The 25,024-nt window shown below is 44.4% G+C and overlaps 1 protein-coding gene across 11 annotated transcripts, besides 2 other annotated features; it reads left to right on the top strand.

Moving 5' to 3' along the window:
• Positions 1-8,523: 8,523 nt before the first annotated feature.
• Positions 8,524-22,455, top strand: ZNF619 (zinc finger protein 619). Of its 11 annotated transcripts, none has more exons than NM_001363277.2 (6): positions 8,524-8,759; positions 9,320-9,405; positions 13,265-13,418; positions 13,602-13,751; positions 13,990-14,106; positions 18,208-22,455. In NM_001363277.2, exons 4-6 carry the CDS (start codon positions 13,748-13,750, stop codon positions 19,641-19,643), a joined length of 1,557 nt encoding a protein of 518 aa, NP_001350206.1. In that variant the 5' UTR covers positions 8,524-8,759; positions 9,320-9,405; positions 13,265-13,418; positions 13,602-13,747; the 3' UTR covers positions 19,644-22,455. The 11 variants fall into 11 exon arrangements, with proteins under 11 accessions (NP_001350206.1, NP_001138554.1, XP_011531909.1 ...); NM_001145082.4 differs by having other exon boundaries at positions 13,632-13,751; XM_011533607.2 differs by having other exon boundaries at positions 13,632-13,751; positions 13,993-14,106.
• Positions 8,698-8,837: an enhancer, noted in NCBI's record as "active region_19718". NCBI's record gives its function as "activates an Ori minimal core promoter by ATAC-STARR-seq in GM12878 lymphoblastoid cells {active_cell/tissue: GM12878}" and the evidence as "EXISTENCE:reporter gene assay evidence [ECO:0000049][PMID:35858748]".
• Positions 24,456-24,955: an enhancer, noted in NCBI's record as "H3K4me1 hESC enhancer chr3:40534545-40535044 (GRCh37/hg19 assembly coordinates)". NCBI's record gives its function as "activates a minimal SCP1, AML or CMV promoter by ChIP-STARR-seq in naive H9 embryonic stem cells {active_cell/tissue: H9 hESC(naive)}" and the evidence as "EXISTENCE:reporter gene assay evidence [ECO:0000049][PMID:30033119]".

Raw genomic sequence — 25,024 nt, forward strand, 5'->3', positions numbered from 1 at the left:
TATTGTGATTTTTGAGATTGCATTGAATTTATAGATATGTTAGATAGAACAAACTCACCGTCTTCATAATACTACGTCTTCGATCCAGGAGCATGGTATATTTCCAACTACTTGGGCCGTCATTCTTTTCAAAATTAAAACAAAAAAACAAAAAAAAACTGTATCTTGGCTTATTCCTGGTGATTTTTTGTTTGTTTGTTTGAGATGGAGTCTCGCTTTGTTGCCCAGGCTGGAGTGCAGTGGCGCAATCTCAGCTCACTGCAAGCTCTGCCTCCTGGGTTCACGCCATTCTCCTGCCTCAGCCTCCTGAGTAGCTGGGACTACAGGCGCCCGCCACCACTCCTGGCTAATTTTATTTTTTTTATTTTTATTTTTTTTTTGTATTTTTAGTAGAGACGGGGTTTCACCATGTTAGCCAGGATGGTTTTGATCTCCTGACCTAGTGATCCTCCCGCTTTGGCCTCCCAAAGTGCTGGGATTACAGGTGTAAGCCACCACGCCCAGCCTCTGTTTGTTTTTGAGACGAGTCTCTGTTGCCCAGGCTGGCGTGCAGTGGTATGATCTCAGCCCATTGCAACCTCTGCCTCCTGGGTTCAAGTGATTCTCCCCCCACAGCCTCCCCAGTAGCTGGGATTACAGGTGCGCACCACCACACTGGCTAATTTTTGCATTTTTAGTAGAGATGGAGTTTCACTATGTTGGCCAGGCTGATCTCGAACTCCTGACCTCACATGATGCACCTGCCTGAACCTCCCAAAATGCTGAAATTACAGGTGTGAGCCACCACGCAGGCCATATTCCTAGTGATTTTGAACTAGTATCAGTTCCTAGTATTTTTTTTTTTTTTTTCTGAGACAAGAGTCTCGCTCTGTCGCCCAGGCTGGAGGGCAGTGGCGCGATCTCGGCTCACTGCAAGCTCCGCCTTCTGGGTTCACGCCATTCTCCTGCCTCAGCCTCCTGAGTAGCTGGGACTACAGGCGCCCGCCACCACGCCTGGCTAATTTTTGAGGCCGAGTCTTACTCCATCGCCCAGGCTGGAGTGCAGTGGCAAGATCTTGGCTCACTGCAACCTCCGCCTCCCAGGTTCAAGCAGTTCTCGTGCCTCAGCCTCCCAAGTAGCTGGGATTACAGGTGTCCACCACCATGCCTGGCTAATTTTTGTATTTTTAGTAGAGATGGGGTTTCACTGTGTTGGCCAGGTTGGCCTTGAACTCCTGACCTCAAGTGATCCACCCGCCTCGGCCTCCCAAAGTCTGGGATTACAGGCATAAGCCACCGTGCCTGGCCCCTAGTATCTTTTCTAACTGGACGTTGATGGATGTAAAGGGGCTGAGGATTTTTGTATTTAACATCTTATGTGTGTCCACATTGCTAAACTCTCTTATTGTTTTAATATAATTTTTTAGTTGATTTTTTTTAATTTTCTTTTTTTTTTTTCCTTTTTTTGCCCCCCTTGAGACAATGTCTTGCTCTGTCACCCAGGCTGAGTGCAGTGGTATGATCATGGCTCACTGCAGCCTTGACCTCCTAGGCTCAAGTGATCCTCCTGTCTCAGCCTCCCAAGTAGCTGGGACTACAGGTATGTGCCACCATGCCCAGCTAATTTATTTTTATTTTATTTATTTATTTATTTTTGAGATGGAGTTTTGCTTTTTTTGCCCAGGCTGGAGTGCAATGGTGCAATCTTGGCTCATTGCAACCTCTGCCTCCCAGCTTCAAGCGATTCTCCTGCCTCAGCCTCCCGAGTAGCTGGGATTACAGGTGCCACCCCCGCCCCTCCCACCACCACCACCGTGCCTGCTAGTTTTTTTGTATCTTTAGTAAAGATGGAGTTTCACCATGTTGGCCAGGTTGTTCTCAAACTCCTGATCTCAGGTAATCTACCTGCCTCGGCCTCACAAAGTGCTGGGATTACAGGCGTGAGCCACAGTGCCCGGCCTTTTTTAATGCTTTGTAGAGACAGAGTCTCACTATGTTGCCTAGGCTGATTTCGAACTTCTGAATGCATACAGTCCACCTGCCTTGGCCTCCCAAGGTGCTAGGATTACAGGTGTGAGCTACTGCGCCTGGCTGGATTTCTTGGATTTTCTGTGAGGATAATGATGAAAACAACTTCTCCATTAAAAAATTGTATTACACGTCAGGTATAGAAAATCTCAATAAAATGATATATTCTTAGCTATTTTAATGGATAAACATGCAACTCTTTTCAAATCTATATTATTGCCACTCCTTTCAAATAACTGTTTGGAACATTGCCCTCCCGGATGAGTACCACACTGTCTTATCTCCCATTCCTTCATGTCACAAGGCCCCAAGGCAATTCTTGGAAAACGACTGCCTGATTTTATATCTTTATAAAACAAATCCTGTAACTGTGATGTGCTAAGGAATAGAAGTGTTTACCCAGCCCCTGGTTAGTGAAAATTCCTCCTTTCCTCCAGTGAACATTTTATAATAATGAAGTCTTATCGTTAAATTCTGAGTCTGTGGTCTTTTCTATAATAATAATTATGTGATCTACAAATAATGATAATTCTGTTTCCTATATCTGCTACATTTTTTTAAATTTATTTTTATTTTTGCTTTTTTGTTCTGATTTCTTCGTCCTGTCCAACTGAAACTTTGTACCCTTTGACCAGCATGTCACCATTTACCCATCTCAGCTGCTGGCAACCACCATTTTACTCTCTGCTTCTGTAAGTTTAACTTTTTTGAGAGAGAGAGAGAGTCTTGCTTCGTCGCCCAAGCTGGAGTGCAATGGCGCAACCTTGGCTCACTGCAACCTCTGCCTCCTGGGTTCAAGTGATTCTCCCGCCTCAGCCTCCTGACTAGCTGGGATTACAGGCATGCACCACCACGCCCAGCTAATTTTTTTTTGTATTTTTAGTAGAGACGTGTTTTCACCATGTTGGCCAGGATGGTCTCGATCTCTTGACCTAGTGATCTGCCTGCCTTGGCCTCCCAAAGTGCTGGGATTACAGGTGTGAGCCACCGTGCCTGGCCAACTTTTTTAGGTTCTACATATAAGTGAGATCATACAGTATTTGTCTTTCTATGCCTTATTCACTAAGCTTAATATCCTCCAGTTTCATCCATGTTGTGACAATGACAGGATTTTTTCCTTTTAAAGGAGGAATAATATGTCATTTTGTGTGTGTGTGTGTGTATACACATTTTCTTTACCATTCATCCATTGATGGACACATAGGTTGTTCCATGTCTCAGCTGTTGTGAATAATGCTGCAATTAACATGGAAGTACAGATACCTCTTTGACATACTGATTTTATTTTCTTTGGAAATGTATCCATGTAATAGGATTGCTGAATCATATGGTATTTCTATTTTTAATTTTTTTTAGAAACTTCCGTACTGTTTTCCATGATGGTTGGACAAATTTGCATTCCCATCAACAGTGTACAAGGGTTCCATTTTCTCCACCACCTACATGTTATCTGTTGTCATGTTATGTTATGTTATGTTATGTTATGTTATGTTATGTTATGTTATGTTATGTTATGTTATTTTTTATTTTGAGACGAAGTCTCACTCTGTCACCCAGGCTGGACTGCAGTGGCATGATCTCAGCTCACTTCAACCTCCGCCTCCCTGGTTCAAGTGATTCTCCTGCCTCAGCCTCCCGAATAGCTGGGATTATGGGTGCCCACCACAACCCCCGTCGTCTGATTTTTGTATTTTAGTAGAGACGGGTTTTTGCCATGTTGGCCAGGCTGGTCTCTAACTCCTGAGCTCAAGCGATCCACCTGCCTCGGCCTCCCAAAGTGCTGGGATTACAGGCTTGAACCACTGCACCCAGCCATCTGTTTCTTTTTGATAACAGCCATTCTGGTTGGGCATGATGTCTCACGCCTGTAATCCCAGCACTTTGGGAGGTCGAGGTGGGTGGATCACTTGAGGCCAGGAGTTCGAGATCAGCCTGGTCAACATGGCAAAACCCGGTCTCTACTAAAAATACAAAAATTACTCGAGTTTGGTGGCGTGCATCCGTAATCCCAGCTACTTGGGAAGCGGAGGCATGATAATTGCTTGAGCCTGGGAAGCAGAGGTTACAGTGAGCTGAGATCACTTCAGTCTGAGCAACAGCGAGACTCTGTCTCAAAAAGTAATAATAATAATAATACAGCCATTCTAAGAGGATTATGGTGATTATCACATTTGCATTTCTCTGATGATGAGTGATGTTGAGCATTTTTTCATCTTTCTGTTGGTCATTCGTATGTCTTCTTTGGAGAAATGTCTATTCAGGTACTTTGCCCATTTTTTAATCTAGTTATTTGTATTCTTGCTATAGAGTTGAGTTTCATATATATTTTCTTTTCTTTTTTTTTTTTTTTTTTTTTTTTTACACAGCGTCTCACTCTTGCCCAGGCTGGAGTGCAGTGGTGCAATCTTGGCTCACTGCAACCTCCGCCTCCTGGGTTCAAGTGACCCTGGTGCCTCAGCCTCCCAAGTGGCTGGGATTACAAGCACGTGCCACCACACCTTGCTAATTTTTGTATTTTTAGTAGAGATGAGGTTTTGCCATATTGCTCATGGCTGATCTCGAACTCCTGACTTCAAGTGATCTGCCTGCTTCAGCCTCCCAAAGTGATGGGATTACAGGCGTGAGCCACCATGCCCAGCTGAGGTACATTCCTTCTTTTTTATTTTTTTGAGACAGAGTCTAGCTCTGCTGCCCAGGCTGGAGTGCAGTGGCACAGTTTCAGCTCACTGCAACCTCTGCCTCCCAGGTTCAAGCAATTCTCCTGCCTCAGCCCTCTACAGTAGTTGGGATTACAGGCGTGCACTACCATGCCTGGCTAATTTTTCTATTTTTAGTAGAGACTGGGTTTTGTCATGTTGGCCATGCTGGTCTCGAACTCCTGACCTCAGATGATCCACCCACCTCAGCCTCCCAAAGTGCTGGGATTACAGGTGTGAGCCACCGCGCCTGGCCTGAGCCACCATGCCCAGATGTACATTCCTTCTATGTCTAATTTGGTGAGAGTTTTTTTTTTATCATGAAAGTATGTTGAACTTTGTCAAATGCTTTTTCTGTATCCATTGAGATGATCATATGATTTTTATTTTTCATTTTGTTAATGTGGTATATCACACTGATCGATTTACATATGTTGAAACATTCTTGCATCTCTGGATGATCATAGTATATGATCCCACCCTATCATGGGCAGGAGAATCGTTTGAACCCAGGAGGGGGAAGTTGCAGTGAGCCGAGACCGCGCCACTGCACTCCAGCCTGGGTGACAGAGGGAGATTCTGTCTCAAAAAAAAAAAGAAATCAGAAAAATAAGAATAATCAAACATGAAGTATGACTAAAACAGACTCAGAAGAAAGCTTATAGACATAAATACAAGTATGAGAGAACCAAAAAGCTATAAAAAATTAGGCATGCTATTCAAAAACTAGAAAAAGAATATACGTCTTTCAGATTTTAAGAAATAAATCAATAATGATAAAATGAAACACGATATGGTATTAGACGTGTTCATGAAAAAGAAAAATGATACTAAAAATCAATGATATAGAAAAAGCAATGAAATATGAAAAAACTAAAAGTTGGTTCTGTGAAAAATTCAATAAAAGAGAAAAAGTATAGGTAAACAGTAATTGATACAAGAAAAGGGACAAATCCCTTCAGACATGGACATATAAAAAGTAAGATGATTTTGTATCAGTAAATTTGACAGCCTATGCCAAATTATTTTCTATGGAAGAAAGTACCAAAATTGGTTAAAGGCATTAAAAACCTGAATGGACTAATAACCACACAAGAGACGGAAAAGTTGTCAAATATAAAAAGGTGTTGGGTCCAGAATGACTTATAACAGGTGAAATTTTCATACCTTTATAGGACATTTTGGCCCTAAGTTATGCTTTCCTAAATAATATGAAACTGTATATATACCTTCTATAGACATGGTCTCACTCTGTTGCCCAGGCTGGAGTTCAGTAGTGTAATGAGTTTCTTGGTTGGATGCAAACTGGTGCATTCACTGAGGTGGGGGAACCCTGGAGGAGGAACAGGGGGATGAGGGAAGGATGATGAGATTAGTTTGGAACATTTTGAATTTTAGGCTTTTGTAGAATAATTAGAAATCAACAGGCAGTTTCAAACCCAGACCTCTAACTCCAAGCTATCTGCACACTGCCTGGCCAATAGGAAGCACTATTGCCATGAGTGTTATTAAATCTGGACTGCAGAAAGAGATACGGGAGTGTCTTACAGGAGAGTGGTGAGATACGCACGAATAATAATAATGTCAGCAATAATATAGCACTTATTTTGACTTAGTTCAGTACAGAACTGGACTCTGTCCATAAAAAGAGTCAAACTCAGTAAAATATTTAAAGAGATTTATTCTAAACTAAATATGAGGACCAGTGACCCACGACACAGCCCCAGGGGGTCCTGAGATCTTGTGCTCAAGGTGGTCGGGCTACAGCTTGGTTTTACATGTTTTAGGAAGATATAAGATATCAATCAATAAATGTAGGATGTACATTAGCTCCATCCGGAAAGGAGGGACAACTCGAAGTGGGGAGTGTGGGGGCACCTTCCAGGGCGTAGGTGGATTCAAAGATTTCCTTTCCTTTCCTTTCCTTTTTCCTTTCCTTTCCTTTCCTTTCCTTTCCTTTCCTTTCTTTTCTTTTGAAGATTTCTAACTGGCAATTAGTTGAAAGAGTTATGGACTGGGCACGGTGGCTCACGCCTGTAATCCCAGCACTTTGGGAGGCCGAGGCGGGCGGATCACGAGGTCAGGAGATCGAGACCATCCTGGCTAACACGGTGAAACCCCGTCTCTACTAAAAATACAAAAAATTAGCTGGGCATGGTGGCGGGCGCCTGTAGTTCCAGCTACTCAGGAGGCTGAGGCAGGAGAATGGCATGAGCCCGGGAGGCAGAGCTTGCAGTGAGCCGAGATCGCGCCACTGCACTGCAGCCTGGGCGACAGAGCAAGACTCTGTCTCAAAAAAAAAAAAAAAAAAAAAAAGTTATTAGCTAAAGACCTGGAATCAATTGAAGGGAATGTCTGAGTTAAGATAAGGGGTTTTGGAGACCAATGTTCTTATTATGCAGATGAAACCTCCAGGTAGCAGGCTTCAGAGAGAAACGATTGTAAATGTTTCTTACCAGACTTCAAAAGGTGCCAAACTCTTAGTTAATTCTCTACTGGATCAAGGAAAACACTTTGAAAGTGAAGGGGATTCTTTACAGGATGTAGATTTTCTTCACAAAAGACAGCTTTACAGGGTCATTTCAAAATATGTCAAAGAAATACATTTTAGGGTAAAATACTTCAGTTTATTTCAGGGCCTGTTATCTGTCACATGAGACTATACTAGAGTCAGGTTAGAATTTGATGTCTTATTGCTATAAAGAGTTTGTTTTGGGCTGGGCGTGGTGGCTCACGCCTGTAATCCCAGCACTTTGGGAGGCCGAGGCGGGCGATCACGAGGTCTAGTTCAAGACCAGCCTGGTCAACATGGTGAAATCCCGTCTCTACTAAGAATACAAAAATTAGCCGGGCGTGTTGGCACGTTCCTGTAATCCCAGCTACTCAGGAGGCTGAGGCAGGAGAATTGCTTGAACCCGGGAGGCGGAGGTTGCAGTGAGCCGAGATCGGGAAACTGTACTCCAGCCTGGGCTACAGAGTAAGACTCCATCTCGGAAAAAAAAAAAAAAAGTTTTAGTCAGTCTCAAGATCTCTGTTTTAATGTTAATGCTGGTCCGTAGTGCCTGAATTCCAAGGGCATAACGAGGCAAGTCCGATCCCCTGCTTCCCATCATGGCCTGAACTAGATTGCCAGGTTTTCTTTGGAATGTTTTGGCTGAGAGAAGTGGTCCATTCAGTTGGTTGGGGGACTTAGAATTTTATTTTTGGTTTACAAAACTGTTGCATGAATTGACTCAGTTAATTCACTGAATTTATAAATTACAAACTTTTACCATTCTCAACTGATAAATTGAGGCAACGATTTAAGTATAACTTGAGCAAGTCCATATAGAGTGGAGCCAGGAACGCAGACAATGAGACACCATACCCCATGGTCTTAGGTCACAGTCATTCAGTGGGAGACAGGGGCTATAAATTCATTAGAAGGTTAAGTTAGGAATTAAGTAATTAGGTAAGGAATTAGGAATTCAGTTAATTAAGTTACAAATTGTTAAATATGGAGGAATTTATCATGTAGTTGGGGTACTAAGACATAAGAGAAAATAATAAAGAAAAACAGGAGCGGCCGGGCGCGGTGGCTCACGCCTGTATTCCCAGCACTTTGGGAGGCCGAGGCGGGCGGACAGCTTGAGCTCAGGAGTTCGAGAACAGCCTGCGCAACATAGCGAGACCCCCGTTTCAAAAAACACACGAAAAAATTAAAATTAAAAAACAAACAAACCAGGCGCAGAGCGGTTGTGGAGAAGGGAAGCGAAGGGTTGGAGTTTCGTTTCGTGGGAACCATAGAGAAGGGCCAGCCTCCCGGCTTCCTAGAGAGGCTGTAGGGACCGACGGCCGGCCAGCTAATGCTTCCGTCTTGGCCACCTTGCGAGCGCTCGGGTTGAGTTTCCCGGGCTTCCCTGACTCGGCTACCTGTTCTGGAGGTCAGGCTTTGGGCCCTTGCAGAGGTCGCCGAGGGGCCCGCGCCGCCGCCAGAGCCTGGGCCCAGTCCCCAGTCTTCAGAGACGCCCTCGACCTTCCTGCTCCGAGGAGCTGGCCTGATGTCCTCGGGTCGCGGTATTCATGGGGAGGATGGGAGCCGTGACTATAGGGTCTCCTGCTTCCCAGGGTGGAGCGTTCAGATCCCGGTTAGGTCTTCGGTCAGCATCACCCGCTGGGACATTAAGCGTCTTACCCTTGTCACCCGGGGCTGGGTCACCACTTATATTTTGTCCTGCAGCCTGTGGTTTGTTTAGGGGTCCCCGTTATATCCTACTTTCTCTCCAGAGACTTGTTTTGGGTTTTTGCCATGAACACTAGAAGCATTCAATACAAACTGTTTAGTAATGCATTCATAGTGGGGCCAAGAATTTTTTTTAAAAAACAGCCACGAATCCACTGCAGTTCTTGACTCTTACTTTACAGATATTCTTTCTAGAGTTTCCAGTGTCACCAAGCAGATCTATAGGAGAATATGCAGAGGGAGCATTTGCAACATCCCATGAATCAGTGGAGAGGGTGAATGACAGCAGCTAGTGTGCCAAGAATATCTGCAATGCTAGTGGCAGGAGACAGAGGGGAAGAGGCGGCAAGTGTAGGAGACGAGACAGATCAGTCTCATTGTGGTTCTCTCTTAGCTCCGCAGGTTCTTACTTTTTCAAACCTAGAGGGCAGTGCATGAAGCCAGGGGTCATCAGCCATGCTCCAGACAGTGTGGTTCCAGGTGAGCAGAGCTTTCTTTCAGCTTTCCATACTCAGAACAGATATGGAAGGTCAGTACAGCCCCAGTAGCCTGACTTGGCCAGTCTCATGCTTAGTTTTACATCCTTCAATAAAGTATGTAAAAACAGTATGCGAGGGGAGTTGACGAACGAGAGTAGGTGAATTTGGGAGAGTCAGGTAGGTTGGAAAAGAAGGAATGAATTATCCTAGAAAGTGGGAATCTGCATTCATGAGAACTGAAAGTGTGGCCTGGAGATGAGCAGCTTTTGCATTACAGAGGGCTCTTGTTAGGCAAAATGTCAGGCCCCCTCCCCAGATCTCCTAAATCAGAATCTACATTTTTACAAGATCTGGAAAATTAAAGGGCAGATTAAAATTTGAGGAGTGCTAGTCTGCGTTCACAGTACACAAAGAAAAGCCATTTCTGAGGTTAAATAGACACTTCCAAGGGAGGAGTTTACCCTGCAGACCACTCAGTTAAGGTACAGTGAAGCCAGAACTGGAAACATGTGGAAAATGTAGATTGATGAGGGAGATGTATTTTTGGAGGAATGATGAGTTTGGAGCTGAAGCCAGTGCCTTTAGCTCAATGCGAAGACGTCAGTCTAACCTCTGTGAGAGTCTATATCCTTTCTTGGCTACAAATTCATGTAGCATTGGGAGGACTTTTCCCTCCAGTTTTCTTGGTGGTAGATGATGGTTTTACTGGATTTTTCTCCAGTGTCCTAGATCATGGAATGAGAAAGCTGAGTTTATCATGTAATGGATGTATCTTGTAATGAGAAAGCTCCATCCCAAGGACTTAAAAACAATGTGTGTGTCCTTTTGGTGGATATTGGACCATCCACTTCTGTTCGAGAACTTCAGCAAAAATTCATTCCTACAAGTCAGGAAGTGTGCTGTGGGGGTATGCTGTGCTCTCCTGGTGCTTTGCCTGAAGTACAGAAATCACTTAGGATTAGATTCCCCAAAGAGGACCCCAAATGACAGTGGATTAAACGAGGTAAAGGCTTCTCTCTCATACAAAAGTATCAAGAGTCAATACAGGGCTAGTGTGGCAGCTCCCCTATTATGCTCTCAGGCTCTGTCTTTCTGCTCTACCATCCTAGCAGTGTCTCACCTGCTCTAGGCCACTTTATTGTCCAAGGTGGCTGCTTGATCTCTAGCCATCATGTGTGCATTCCAGCTAGAAGAGGAGCTGCCCAAAAAAAGATGAACCTCTCTCTTTTAGGAACCTTCCCATAAGTCCCCAACAATATTTATACTTGCATTTCATTGGCCCCACTTGGTTGCCCGGGTTGAGTGCAACCTCAAGTAAAATTAGGATTCCAATACTAAGAAAGAAAGGGGGTACACACACACCTGTCAGTCTTTGCTACAATCTCTAAGAGGAACATTTGTCATTTAGAATCTTCTAGGAAGTTCCCCCAATCTCATCTGTGGTTGTAGTAAGTGCTGAGATTTAGATGATATCATGTGCCAGGTGATATCTTCGTGCGTTACAGATAATAACTTAATGCCATTCTTGTAAGAGTCCTTTCAGATAATTACTATTGTTATCCCAGTTTTACAAATGGGGGCAACTGAGGCACAGAAAGTTTAATTGTCTCATCCAAAGTTAACAGCTAATGAGTATTAGAGATACTATTTGAACTTAGGGAGTCTAGCTTAGAGCAGGGTTTTTCAACCTTGGCATCATTTACATTTGGGCCAGATAATTCTTTGTTTGGGGGATGTCCTGTTCATTATAGGATATTCAGAAATGGCCCTGGCCCACTATCTACTAGATGCCAGTAGCACTACCATTACCACCACACTGCAGTTCTGACAACTAAAAATGTCTCCAGATATTGCCACATAGTCTCTGGGGGACAGAATTGCCCCCATGTTGAGAGCCATAGCCTTAACATCTGTGCCATTTGCCACTATGTTGTGCTGCCCCTGTAACCCACTTCCTATAGAAGGGAGTCAATAGCCCCACTTAATGGAGAAAGAGTAAGTGCAAGTAAAGGACAGAAGAGTGATCACAGATAGAGAAGATCTGGAGAAGCTAAGTGTTTCAGAAAACAAGGAACCAAAGAATGTGCTGATAATTAGAGTGATGTTTCAGAGGTATGGAGAGGTAGAGCATAATGTCAAGAAAAGTTGAGGTCCATATTCCCAGCTAGTTGTTGACTCTGAAGGAAGTAAGAGAAGAGTATTAACAGATGTATCTATTCTGCACTGTCCAGGAAGGTACCCCCTAGCTACATGTGCCTATTTAAATTGAAATCAATTAAAGTTCCTCAGTCATGCCGGCCACCTTTGAACTTTCTGGCTAAGGGGTATTCTGATTACTGTATAGTTACTGTTTTCCTCTTGTAACTAATAAGCAATCTATGAGGAGACATTTAAGATCATGCAAATATTCTGCTTCTCATCAAAATTTCCTCCTAGATTTAGCATCCATTGATGATTTTTGCCCAAACCAATCTTTACAATGATGACTGCATAGTACTTTTTTTTTTTTTTTTTGAGACGGAGTCTTGCTCTGTCGCCCAGGCTGGGGTGCAGTGGTGCAATCTCGGCTCACTCCAAGCTCTGCCTCCGGGGTTCACGCCATTCTCCAGCCTCAGCCTCCCGAGTAGCTGGGACTACAGGTGCCTGCCACCACGCCCGGCTAATTTTTTGTGTATTTTTAGTAGAGATGAGGTTTCAGCATGTTAGCCAGGATGGTCTTGATCTCCTGACCTCGCGATCTGCCCGCCTCGGCCTCCCAAAGTGCTGGGATTACAGGCATGAGCCACTGTGCCCAGCCCAAATCTTCTAGTACTTCTATGTTAGATTTCTTCACTCAGAAGAGACTTAAGTACAAAGAGAAGGTTGTTGACATGATGAATTGAGAAAGACTACAGTGTGAGTCAGAGATAGATGTTTTAATGGGACTAATTTATATAAAAGTGGTCAGTTCATTTTGAACTTTTTGCTTCCTTATACAACCTTGTAATAAATACTCAAAGAGGACTCCTTTTAGTCTATTTCAAAGTGCTTAATATTGCTCATTCCCATCATCTGAAAATGGAAATAATAATTCTTATTTCACAGATGTGCTATAATGATTGAGCAAATTGATTTAAAAGTAACTGACACAGGACAAAGCTTTAAACAACCTGTGATGGTGTCCTTCTTCCCTGAGAAGCTGGAGGTGGTTTTAGTGGGAAGCAGAAAGAGAGAGACACATAATGAAGAGGACAGCATTGGCAGGTCAGACAGAGCTTAGGTGATCAGTGGGCAGATTTCTGCAGAAGGATGGGAGATTGCCATCCTGTCCTGGAGTGAAGTGTGTTAGGAGACAAAGAAGTAACACTGCACATCACCTTCAAGGGAGAACTATTAATAGCTTCTGATAAGGCAAGATGATAGAAAGGGGAGAAATATCCAGGATGAAAGGAACTTTATCCTCATGAAATCACTCCTCTGTCTGTAGCAGAAGATGTAGAGGAGGAAGACCAGAAAGAAGCTGGGTGGAGGGCCCTGATACGTGCTTCAGGATGGATGGAGGCAGGGTGAAAGACGGTTACCTGCTGTGGTCGATTTAGAAAGCATGCCAGAAAAATATACCTGGCCTGTGGAACCAGACATGGGTTGACATGATCACCAGGCAGAGAACAACAGGTGCTGGGCTGTGTACTTAGGATGATAATATTAGGGCCCCAGAGGTATGCACATGGAAAGTTGGAATGCTGGCTCGGGGCTGCCCCTGCTGGGGTCCTGTGTGGCTCTCCTTGCCAGTACAAACCTTCCATGGGGCTCAGTGCCATGGATTCCAGTAAATTTATCCCTTTCCTGGAATTCAGGCCTCTCCCTCTGTTCTTGTGCAGGGCTTGGGCAGGAACCTGTTGTTTCAGGAGCCAGTAACCTTTGAGGATGTGGCTGTGTACTTCACCCAGAATGAATGGGCCAGCCTGCACCCTACGCAGAGGGCCCTATACAGGGAGGTGATGCTGGAGAATTATGCAAATGTGACTTCCTTGTGTAAGTCCTCCTTCCTCTCTGAAACTCAGCTTCTGCCCTTGGGAGCTCCTAGATTCCTCCTTAGCAGAACTAGGATCTCTTTAATACCATCAGAATTGATGCCCTATGGGCTGAGCTCCCTAATCCCCAGTGCCAGGGGTAGCTGGATGGAGAAAGAGCTCGGTTCACTTTGGTGTTTAACAGGACTTTTCTCTTCCCTGGTTCCTAATGGAGACCCAACTGCAGGGGGCTTTCCTCTGGATACAGAGAGAACTGAGAAGGTTCCTGGTGCACTGTCTTCATTCCTTCCATCTTCCAGTTCCCTGGAGCTGATCTTGGCCCTATTGCCTATGTGTGAGTCCCCTAGGGCCCTCGTGTACACACCCCCCAGTGACTCTGGGAGCATTCTGTCCTCTTAGAGGCCAGAGTAAGCTTCAAGCCCTTCCTTAGATTCTGCAGATTCACTCCTCCCTGACTTCACTTAGTCTCCTGGGCCATCCTCTTCTATTTTCATCTGGCAAAGCAGAGTGTAGTCTGAGGGAGGTCAGTGTTGATTCTCCTCAGCTTCATGTTCCTTTTCTTTCTCCTGTAGCAGCATTTCCATTCCCCAAACCAGATCTGATATTCCAGCTGGAGCAAGGAGAAGCAGCATGGGGCCCAGATCCCTGGACACTTGCTGGGGGAGAGGCCCTGAGAGGCATGTGCACAGGTGAGCAGGAGAGCCTACCATCCTCCTTTCCAGCTTTGCCTCCTCCTTTCTTTTAACAATTTAGCATGAAAAAGGTTTTTCCTTGTCATATGATGGTTGTGGGGATTAAAATAGTCACTCTTATTCAAAGAAGTGTTGCTTACCAGAACTTCATCCCCGAACTAGAAAAGACGAGTCCCGCCATTTTATTTCTGCCATTTTTCTTTGTAAAGCTAAAGGATTTCAGGCTGGATGTGGTGGCTTACACCTATATCCGAGCACTTTGGGAGGCCAAGGTGGGAGGGTGCTTGAGGCCAAGAGTTCAAGACCAGCCCGAACAACATAGCAAGACCCTGTCACTACAATAAATAAATAAATTAGCTGGGCATGGTGGCATGTGCCTATAGTGCCAGCTACTCAGGAGGCTGAGGCTGGAGGATCCCTTGAGCCAGGAGTTTGAGGTTGCAGTAAGCTAGGATCACACCATTCCACTCCAGCCTGGGTGACAGAGTGAGACCCTATCTCTAAAAAACAAAAGATTTCAAACAGGCTTCTGTTGGTTCGTCAGCTCAGGAATATAAACACAATATAGTAAGAACTTGGTTTTGGTTTTTTTTTTTTTTTTGAGATGGAGTCTCGCTTTGTTGCCTAGGCTGGAGTGCAGTGGCGCAGTTGTGGTTCACCACAACCTCCGCCTCCTGGGTTCAAGTGTTTCTCCTCCCTCAGCCTTCTGAGTAGCTGGGACTACATGCGCGTGCCACCATGACTGGCTAATTTTTGTATTTTTAGTAGAGATGGGGTTTCACTGTGCTGGCCAGGCTGGTCTCGAACTCCTGCCCTCTTGGTCCGCCCCACCCTCGGCCTCCCAAAGTGCTGGGATTACAGGTGTGAGGCACCATGCCTGGCCAAGCACTTGGTTTTTAAAAAATAGATTTATTTATTTATTTGTTTGTTTATTTTTTGAGACAGAGTTTCACTTTTGTTGCCCAGGCTGGAGTGCAATGGCGTGATCTTCACTCACCGCAACCTCTGCCTTCCAGGTACAAGCGATTCTCCTGCCTCAACCTCCCAAGTAGCTGGGATTATAGGCATGTGTCACCACACCCAGCTAACTTTGTATTTTTAGTAGAGATGGGGTTTCGCCATGTTGGTCAGGCTGGTCTCGAACTCCCAACCTCAGTTGATCTGCCCACCTCAGCCTCCCAAAGTGCTGGGATTATAGGTGTGAGCTACTGCACTTGGCCTATTTATTTATTTTTTGAGTCAGAGTCTTGCTCTGTCACTCAGGCTAGAGTGCAGTGGCACTATTTCGGCTCACTGCAACCTCTGCCTCCCAGGTTCAAGCGATTCTCCTGCCTCAGCCTCCCAAGTAGCTGGGATTACAGGCGCCCGCCACCACACCCGGCTAATTTTTGTAGTTTTAGTAGAGACAGGGTTTCACCATGTTGCCCAGGTTCGTCTTGAACTTCTTACCTCAAGTGATTCTCCTGCCTCAGCCTCCCCAAGTGCTGGGATTACAGGCATGAGCCACCGCGCCCAGCTAGAACTTGTTTTTATAAGAACATTTTGTGTGTGTGTGTGTATAAAACTATATATGTAAATGGAATTTTTCTAAGTTCATAAACACTGAATTTTACATTAGCTTTTGAAAGAAAGCTTGTTTATGTATTGGGAATGAATGGTTTTCTTTTTTGAAAGATACTGAATTGAGTTAAATGTAAAGACCAATCAGAGATTTGGTATACAGCTTTCCTTATTCTATGGGCTCTGTTATCATATTCTGTCAATCTTTTATGCTATTCAGAGCCTCTGTAAGGCAAATGCTCCTTTCTAATTTCCCCACTTTGCCTTAATCAATACCTTAAATTGATTTCAGCATTTCAGATCATGTAGGGGCTTTCCCAGTATCCTTCCTGCAGTTGTTAGTGTTTCCCCTTGCCACAGGTGTACATTTTCTATTTAGCCTGCCAGATGAATCACATGAACACCTGAAGTGTGTCTAGTGCAGCTGAGGAACTGAGTTTTTAATTTTATTCCATTTTAATTAATTTACATTTAAATAGCCACATGTGGCTAGTGGCCACCTTTTGGGAAAGTGCAGCCTTAAACAATGAAAACAGCAGCCTCAATCTGTTTTTTGTAGTTTATAGATTAGTAAATTTCAAACTCTCGTATGTATCAGAATTACTTGCAGAGCTTGTTAAAACACAGATTGCCAGGTGCCACCTCCAGAGATTCGAATTCAGAAGACTGGTGTGGGGCTGAGAATGTGCATTTCTTTTTCTTTTTTTTCAAGATAGGGTCTTGTTATTTTGCCTAGGCCAGTCTCAAATTCCTGGGCTCAAGTGATTCTTTCACCTCTGCCTCCTAATTAGATGGGACTACTGGCACACACCACCAAACCCAGCCCCATTAATATGCATATCTAACAAGTTCCCAGATGATACTGGTCCAGGGACCACCATTTGAGACCACTGTTCTTGACAATCTAGAACCATATTCTTTAAACTCTGGGTTGCAACTCATCAATGAGTTGTTACCAGCATTTAAAAATTAGACTACATTGTATTAGGTGTAGATAAAGACTAAAGTAGTATAAAGTCTATTGTGAATGCATCATTTTTTTTTTTTTTTTGGAAACAGAGTCTTGGTCTATCCCCCAGGCTGGAGCGCAGTGGCGCAATGTTGGCTCACTGCAATCTCTGCCTCCTAGGTTCAACCAATTCTCATGCCTCAGCCTCATGAGTAGCTGGGATTACAGGTGCCCGCCACCACATCCGGCTAATTTTTTGTATTTTTAGTAGAGATGGGGTTTTGCCATGTTGGCCAGGCTGATCTCGAACTCCTGAAATCAGGTGATCCACCTGCCTCGGCCTCCCAAAGTGCTGGGATTACAGGCATGAGCCACTGTGCCCGGCATGAATACATCACTCTTAATAAGGACATTGTTTTGTTTCGGTTTCAGCTGTGTGTGTGTGTGTGTGTGTGTGCACATGTCTGTATTGTTTTAGGATCCAAAATGTGAGTCATGGTCAACAAGCCTCAAAAAACACTAAGATGAAAGTTTCATTTGTCAGATCTTTGGTGCTTGACAGGCAAAAAAGGTTTCTATGTTGTGGTGCTACCAGTGAAAGCATGATCCCCATACCCCCGCTCCAATTGCCATCTCCATTATGGGCAGGTTCTTGGCTGGGCCTTTTTTCCTTTCAAAGGTCAGTCTCCCAAAGGACAGCACTTGGGTTTTAAAATTGTGGTCTTCTCATGAACCCTTTATAAGCAGCAGTGTTACAAACTGCTTTCTGTCCAGCCAGGCTTGTGATAGAGAACTAGAGAGCATTTCTTTAAAAATTACAGAATATTTTAAAGTATTTTGACAGGTTTTATGCCTTGATTGGACTTTGAGATCCACTGTTGTAGACAGTACCTCCCAGCCCTCTGGATACTATGTGGTGCTAGAGCTGCCTACCCATCTTTCTCTTCTCTGGTTTAGAGATTGCTTTTCTCACCTTTGGTTTCCTCTACTTTTCTTCATTGCTTCCCCTTCCTGCAACTTCACCCCATTCCCATTTTTCTTTAACCATTTGCCTCAATTAATAGCTTCTGCCATCCACACTGTTTTTGTCATCCATGTGGGATTGCTTACCTTCTCAAACTCCAGTTTGTTTACTTTCCCCTTGAGGTACCATCAGATGGCTGTGTCTCTCTCAAAAAATTCATGTGTCTAGTGGGCGTGGTGGCTCACACCTGTAATCCCAGCACTTTGGGAGGCTGAGCTGGGCAGGCTGACCTGAGGCTGACCAGAGGTCAGGAGTTCGTGACCAGTCTGAACAACATGGAGAAACCCTGTCTCTATGAAAAATACAAAAAATTAGCCGGGTGTGGTGGCACATGCCTGTAATCCCAGCTACTTGGGAGGCTGAGGTAGGAGAATCACTTGAACCTGGGATGCGGAGGTTGTGGTGAGCCGAGATCATGCCATTGCACTCCAGCCTGGGCAACAAGAGTGAAACTCCACTCAAAAAAAAAAAAAAATTCATGTGTCTAGGGCAAGCTGTTACTGATTAACCCTTTTCCCTTCTGGAATAAATAAGGGACTTTTATGTTTTCTTTTTATCATGCTAGGTGGTAAAACCAAGACTGAGAATGAGGAAAAAACTGCACAGCTAAACATTTCTAAAGAATCAGAGTCCCACAGACTGATAGTGGAGGGACTGCTGATGGACGTTCCCCAGCACCCTGACTTCAAGGACAGGTTAGAGAAGTCACAGCTACATGATACAGGGAATAAAACAAAGATAGGGGATTGCACAGATTTGACAGTCCAGGATCATGAATCTTCCACCACTGAAAGGGAGGAGATAGCCAGGAAATTGGAAGAAAGTAGTGTCAGCACACATCTCATTACAAAGCAGGGTTTTGCCAAAGAACAGGTGTTTTATAAATGTGGTGAGTGTGGCAGTTACTACAACCCACATTCAGACTTTCACCTGCATCAGAGAGTTCACACTAATGAGAAGCCCTACACATGCAAAGAATGTGGGAAAACCTTCAGATATAACTCAAAACTGTCACGGCATCAGAAAATCCACACTGGAGAGAAACCATACTCATGTGAGGAATGTGGACAAGCCTTCAGTCAAAATTCCCACCTTCTTCAGCATCAGAAGCTCCATGGTGGACAGAGGCCCTATGAATGTACTGACTGTGGTAAAACCTTCAGTTATAATTCAAAACTGATTCGGCATCAGAGAATCCATACTGGGGAGAAGCCCTTTAAATGTAAGGAATGTGGGAAAGCCTTCAGTTGTAGCTATGACTGCATCATCCATGAACGAATTCACAATGGGGAGAAGCCCTATGAATGTAAGGAGTGTGGGAAGAGTTTGAGTTCTAATTCAGTTCTGATTCAGCATCAGAGAATCCACACTGGGGAGAAACCTTATGAATGTAAAGAGTGTGGCAAGGCCTTCCACCGCAGTTCGGTATTTCTTCAGCACCAGAGGTTCCACACTGGGGAACAACTCTACAAATGTAATGAATGTTGGAAAACTTTCAGCTGTAGCTCCCGCTTCATAGTGCATCAGAGAATCCACAATGGGGAGAAACCCTATGAATGCCAGGAATGTGGGAAGACATTCAGTCAAAAGATCACTCTGGTTCAGCATCAGCGAGTTCACACTGGGGAGAAACCTTATGAGTGTAAGGAGTGCGGGAAAGCCTTCAGATGGAATGCAAGTTTCATCCAGCATCAGAAGTGGCATACTAGGAAGAAACTCATCAATGGAACAGGGCTATCCGCAGTTAAGCCCTACTGTCCCTGCGCCATCCTCTCTCCTCTGCCTCCCCAACATACCTGCTCTGCCCTAGCCCCACCAGGGCCTCCCTTATCTTCTTCACATGCAGTGGTACTTCCTCCCTCTGTGCCTTTCTTCCTGCTGCTTCCCTCATCTGAAAAGGCCAACCCTTCACCTGTCCAAATAGCACATTTTTTTCAGGATCTCGCTTTTCCTGGGAAGTCATCCCTTCAGAGCCCGAATCCTTTGTCTCACTCCCTGTAAGCCCCGTCACGTTCTCAAAATCCTTTGCACCTCAAGTTAGGGATTCCACTGGTCTCCTGATTGTGTCTATTGATATTCCTCTGGTCTTGTCTTGTATAAGTTGTTACTGTTTTCCTAACTTCATTTTAAATTCTCACGCTTAAGGACCATGTTTGATTAGTTTCTTTTATCCCCCGGTAGGAAATGGCAGTACTTATTCTTTATCGTGTCCACATTTGGGCTGTATTATCAGTCTGCATCTCTCTTCTGGGGCTACTGGAGTTGGAAGAGTTTGCAGAACATTTTGGGGTTTAGGGCATATGGCATTATGATTATGATGAGATGGGGCATTATAATTAGAGACTAGGAGAAATGCAAAGCCTATGGGAGAACATAATCAGATAAAGTGTCCAATGATTGCTTTCAAGAGCTTTTTTTTTTTTAGGGGGTGGGGGGTGGTGCCGGAGTTTCACTCTTGTCACCCAGGCTGTTTGCAGTGGTGTGATCTTGGCTCACTGCAACCTCTGCCTCCAGGGTTCAAGTGATTCTCATGCCTCAGCCTCCCGAGTAGCTGGGACCACAGGCATGCACCACCACGCCCCGCTAATTTTGTATTTTTAGTAGAGACAGGGTTTCACCATGTTGGCCAGGCTGGTCTCAAAATCCTGACCTCAGGTGATTCACCTGCCTCAGTCTCCCAAGTGCTGGGATTACAGGCATGAGCCACTGCATCTGGCCTGCTTTCAGGAGTTAAGGAGGGCCATTTGGTGGACCAGGGGCAAGGCTCACTGAAAGAATGTAAGACTTGGAATTTTTTATTACCTTGATAGTATAAAAAATTATGAGGGTCCTTTTATGCAAAAAGAAAATGAAGTGATGAGTTGGCATTGATAGCAATAATGTAAAATTATGTCTTTGAGCTTTATTGGAAGGGGATATGGTTTTTCAATTTGGGTTCCTTCTCTATTTTCATTTTCCTTTTTTTTTTGAGACAGGTTCTTGTTCTGTCATCCAGGCTGGATTGCAGTAGTGCGATCATGGATCACTGCAGTGTGTTGACCTTCCAGGCTCAAGCAATCCTCCCACCTCAGCTTCCCAAGAAGCTGGGAGGTAGTGCAGCCTCCCAGTTTCTCAGAGGGCTGAGGTGGGAGGATTGCTTGAGCCCTGGGGGCATACACCACCACACCCAGCTAATTTTTGTATTTTTTGTAGAGACAGAGTTTTGCCATGTTGCCCAGGCTGGTCTCAAAACTCCTGGACTCAAATGATCCTCCCACTTCAGCCTCCCAAAGTGCTGGGATTACAGGCTTGAGCCACCATGTCCAGCCTCTATTCCTTTTCATATCTGTTGAATTTCAGTACCCACTCATATATGTAGGTACAAAAAGTGACTTGGACTTGTACCCTTTAGGGTAGATGCCTGAGTATAGTAATCTCTAAAGCTGTACATGGATGGAACTTGTTGGCATCACACTGGTGAGCACCAGAGGCAAAGAAGAGAAACCTGACCATGACTTGCTGTAGTTTCTCAGAAGTGAGTCCATTCCTGATGAGTTACTATGCAGGCCCTTGGATATGTCCTCACACCTACTCCAGATTTCCCTATGATTAAATCTGAATTTTATTGGTGGCACTTTTAAATTAGTTTTATAAAGAACTGTTTTGATGACACCAAGAAATGTTTTCAGTGTGCAGATTGCTATTGTTTGAATATCCCCAGCAAAATTCTTGTTGAAACTTAATCCCCATTGTAACAGTACTGGGTGGGGGGTCTTTAAGAGGTGATCAGGATTAGCCAAGTTCATCAGGGTGGAGCCTCCATGATGGGACTGGTGGCTTTATGAGGAGAGGAAGAGCAACTGGAACTGGGACACATGCTTGCTCTGTCTTGCCTTTTGATGCCTCCTGCCATGTCATGATGCAGCAAGTAAGCCCTTACCAGATGCCTGCACCTTTATATTGGACTTCTTAGCCTTCAGAACTGTGAACTAAATAAACCTCTATTCTGTATAAATTACCCAGTCTATGGTATTCAGTTAGAGCCACACAAAATGTAACAAGACAGAATATTGATAGCCATAAGTAGGTTTGCTGCTCTGACATTTACATAAAAATGTAGAAGTGGCTTTGGAACTGAGTAATGGGTAGAGGCTTGAAAAATCTGGAAGATCAGGTCAGACAAAGCCTGTATTATCTAATGGAGCATTAAGGGTGATTTTGGCCAAGGCTTAGAAGAGAAGACTAGGGAAAGTCTGAACCTTCTTAGAGATTACAGGAGGTCCTTGAACAACTTGGGTTTCAACTGTGTGGGTCCACTTATGGACTTTCTTCTGCCTCTGTCACCCCTGAGATGGCAAGACCAGTCTCCCTCCTCTCCCCTTCTCAGCCTGCTTAACAAAATGACAAGGATACAGACCTTTATGATGATCCATATAATATAGTGAATTATATTTACTAAATATAATTTCTCTTATGATTTTCTTAATATTTTCTCTAGCTTTATTATAAGAATATAGTGTCTAATATGTATAACATAAAAAATATGTGTTAATCGACTGTTTCAGTAAGGCTCTGGTCAACAGTAGACTATTAGTAGTTACATTTTTGGGGAGTTAAAAGTTATACATGGCATGGGGGTTGGTGCCCATATGATGGGACTGATGGCTTTATAAGAAGAGGAAGGGAGACCTGAGCTGACATGCATGCTCTTGCCATCTTGCCATGTGATGCTTTCCATCATGTTATGACACAGCAAGAAGGCCAGATACGGCCCCTCCACAGTTCCCAGCCCTCGGAACCATGAGCTAAATAAACTTCTTTTCTTTATAAATTACCCAATCTGTGATATTCTGTTATAGTAACAGAAAACAGACTGACACTGATCTTACCAGACATTATGATCTCACTGGTTTGGCCTACTGCCTAGAGACTGACCCTTCTCAGAATCACTGCTTCAGGGCAGTATAACAACATGCAAAGGTTTATTTATTTATTTATTATTTTTTGAGACGAAGTTTCACTCTTGTTGCCCAGGCTGGAGTGCAATGGCGCGATCTTGGCTCACCACAACCTTTGCCTCCCAGGTTCAAGTAATTCTCCTGCCTCAGCCTCCCGAGTAGCTGGGACTACAGGCATGCGCCACCATGCCTGGCTAATTTTGTATTTTTAGTAGAGATGGGGTTTCTCCATGTTGGTCAGGCTGGTCTCAAACTCCTGACGTCAGGTAAGCTGCCCGCCTCAGCCTCCCAAAGTGCTGGGATTACAGGCATGAGCCACCGCGCCCGGCCACAAAGGTTTTTTAAAAAAACCTTTGTTTTTTAAAAAACTACATTTTTAAAAAAACCTTTGTGGCCGGGCGCGGTGGCTCATGCCTGTAATCCCAGCACTTAATGTAAAAAAACAAACTGTGAAAAATATTTCAGAGACGTTTAACCTGAGCCAATGTGAAGTGACCGTGGCCTGGAGAAAACACAAACCCAGGAAACCTTGAGTAAGTAGTCCTGAGGCAGTCAGAATGTAACTCTGTTTTATGCATTTCAGGGAAGCAGAAGCTACACAAAAAGCCATCAATCAATACATGGAGGTTATACATTGGTTTGGTCCCAAAAGGCAAGATATCTTGAAGCAGAGGAATACAGGTCATAGGTGGGTTCAGAGAGTCTTTTTTTTCTTTTTTTGAGACAGAGTCTTGCTTTGTTGCCCAGGCTGGAATGCAGTGGTGCAATTGAGTTGAGACGGCGTTTCACCATGTTGGCCGGGCCTGTCTTGAACTCCCGAACTCAAGTGATCCACCCGCCCCAGCCTCCCAAAGTGCTGGGATTACAGGCGTGTGCTAAGATTACATGCGTGAGCCACCGTGCGGGGCCAGAGATTATTTAATTTGTAATTGTTTAGAAGAACAAAGTGTGGTCTAAGAACTTGGAGTTACCAGAAAGGAATGTTTAAGTTAAGGAAGTTTGTAGCCAGGTGTGGTGGCTCACACCTGTAATCCCAATACTTTGGGAGGCCAAGGTAGGAGTATCACTTGAAATCAGGAGTTCAAGACCAGCCTGGGCAACATAGGAAAACTGTGTTTCTACTAAAAATAATTTTTTAAAATTTAATTTAATTTAAAAAAGGATAATGTTACGCATCATATGATGCTATGCTAGAGTTGAGTTGTGAGACCAAGCCACTATATATATATTTTATAAAATATATATAATATAGGCTGGGCGCAGTGGCTCATGCCTGTAATCCCAGCACTTTGGGAGGCCGAGGTGGGTGGATCACCTGAGTTTAGTAGTTCGAGACCAGCCTGGCCAATATGGTGAAACCCCGTCTCTACTAAAAACACAAAAATTAGCCGGGCATGGTGGTGGGCGCCTGAAATCCCAGCTACTTGGGAGGCTGAGGCAGGAGAATCGCTTGAACCTGGGAGGCGGAGGTTGCAGTGAGCCAAGATCTTGCCACTGCACTCCAGCCTGGGCGACATATCTGAAAAAATAAATAAAATAAATAAATAAATAAGAAATATATATATATACACACACACATATATGTGTGTGTGTGTGTATGTGGGTATGCGTGTGTATATATATAGTGTGTGTGTGTATATATTATACACAGACAGAGTCTCACTCTCGCCCAGGCTGGAGTGCTGTGGGGCAACCTCGGCTCATTGCAAGCTCCGCCTCCCAGGTTCACGCCATTCTCCTGCCTCAGCCTCCCGAGTAGCTGGGACTACAGGCGCCCACCACCATGACCAGCTAATTTTTTGTATTTTTAGTAGAGACGGGGTTTCACCGTGTTAGCCAGGATGGTCTCGATCTCCTGACCTTGTGATCCGCCCGCCTCAGCCTCCCAAAGTGCTGGGATTACAGGTGTGAGCCACCGCGCCCGGCCCCAAGGAGTTTCCATTTCTTCTTTTTCTTTTTTTTTTGAGATGGAATTTCACTCTGTCACCCAGGCTGGAGTGCAACGGCGTGATCTCGGCTCACTGCACTCTCCGCCTCACGGGTTCAAGCGATTCTCCTGCCTCAGTCTCCTGAGTAGCTGGGATTACAGGCATGAGCCACCACGTCTGGCTAATTTTTGTATTTTTACTAGAGACAGGGTTTCACCATGTTTGCCAGGCTGGTCTCGAACTCCTGACCTCAGGTGATCCGTCTGCCTCGGCCTCCCAACATGCTCTGATTACAGGCATGAACCACCGCACCTGGCCTTCTATTTCTTCGGAAAGTGAAATGGTTATAGCTAAACATACTGACTTTTCCCCTTGTGATACTGTAATACAATAAGAAAGATATATTTGTCCTTTTCCCCAGTTTCTGGCATAAAGCTGCTAAAATCCTTGTAGTTTCCTAGTAATAAGAGCATCTTTTGTTATAATATTCAGTCTTAGTTCTTGGCACGTGAACTTC

This window comes from Homo sapiens, chromosome 3 (assembly GCF_000001405.40).
Source record: "Homo sapiens chromosome 3, GRCh38.p14 Primary Assembly".
NCBI classification, from domain to species: Eukaryota; Metazoa; Chordata; class Mammalia; order Primates; family Hominidae; genus Homo; species Homo sapiens.

Coding starts and splice junctions, on each gene's coding strand:
- ZNF619 (NM_001145082.4), top strand. CDS start 9,382: ATGCTCCAGACAGTGTGGTTCCAG. Junction 9,406..13,264: donor TCCAGACAGTGTGGTTCCAG/GTGAGCAGAGCT, acceptor GTTCTTGTGCAG/GGCTTGGGCAGGAACCTGTT. Junction 13,419..13,631: donor TGCAAATGTGACTTCCTTGT/GTAAGTCCTCCT, acceptor TTCCTAATGGAG/ACCCAACTGCAGGGGGCTTT.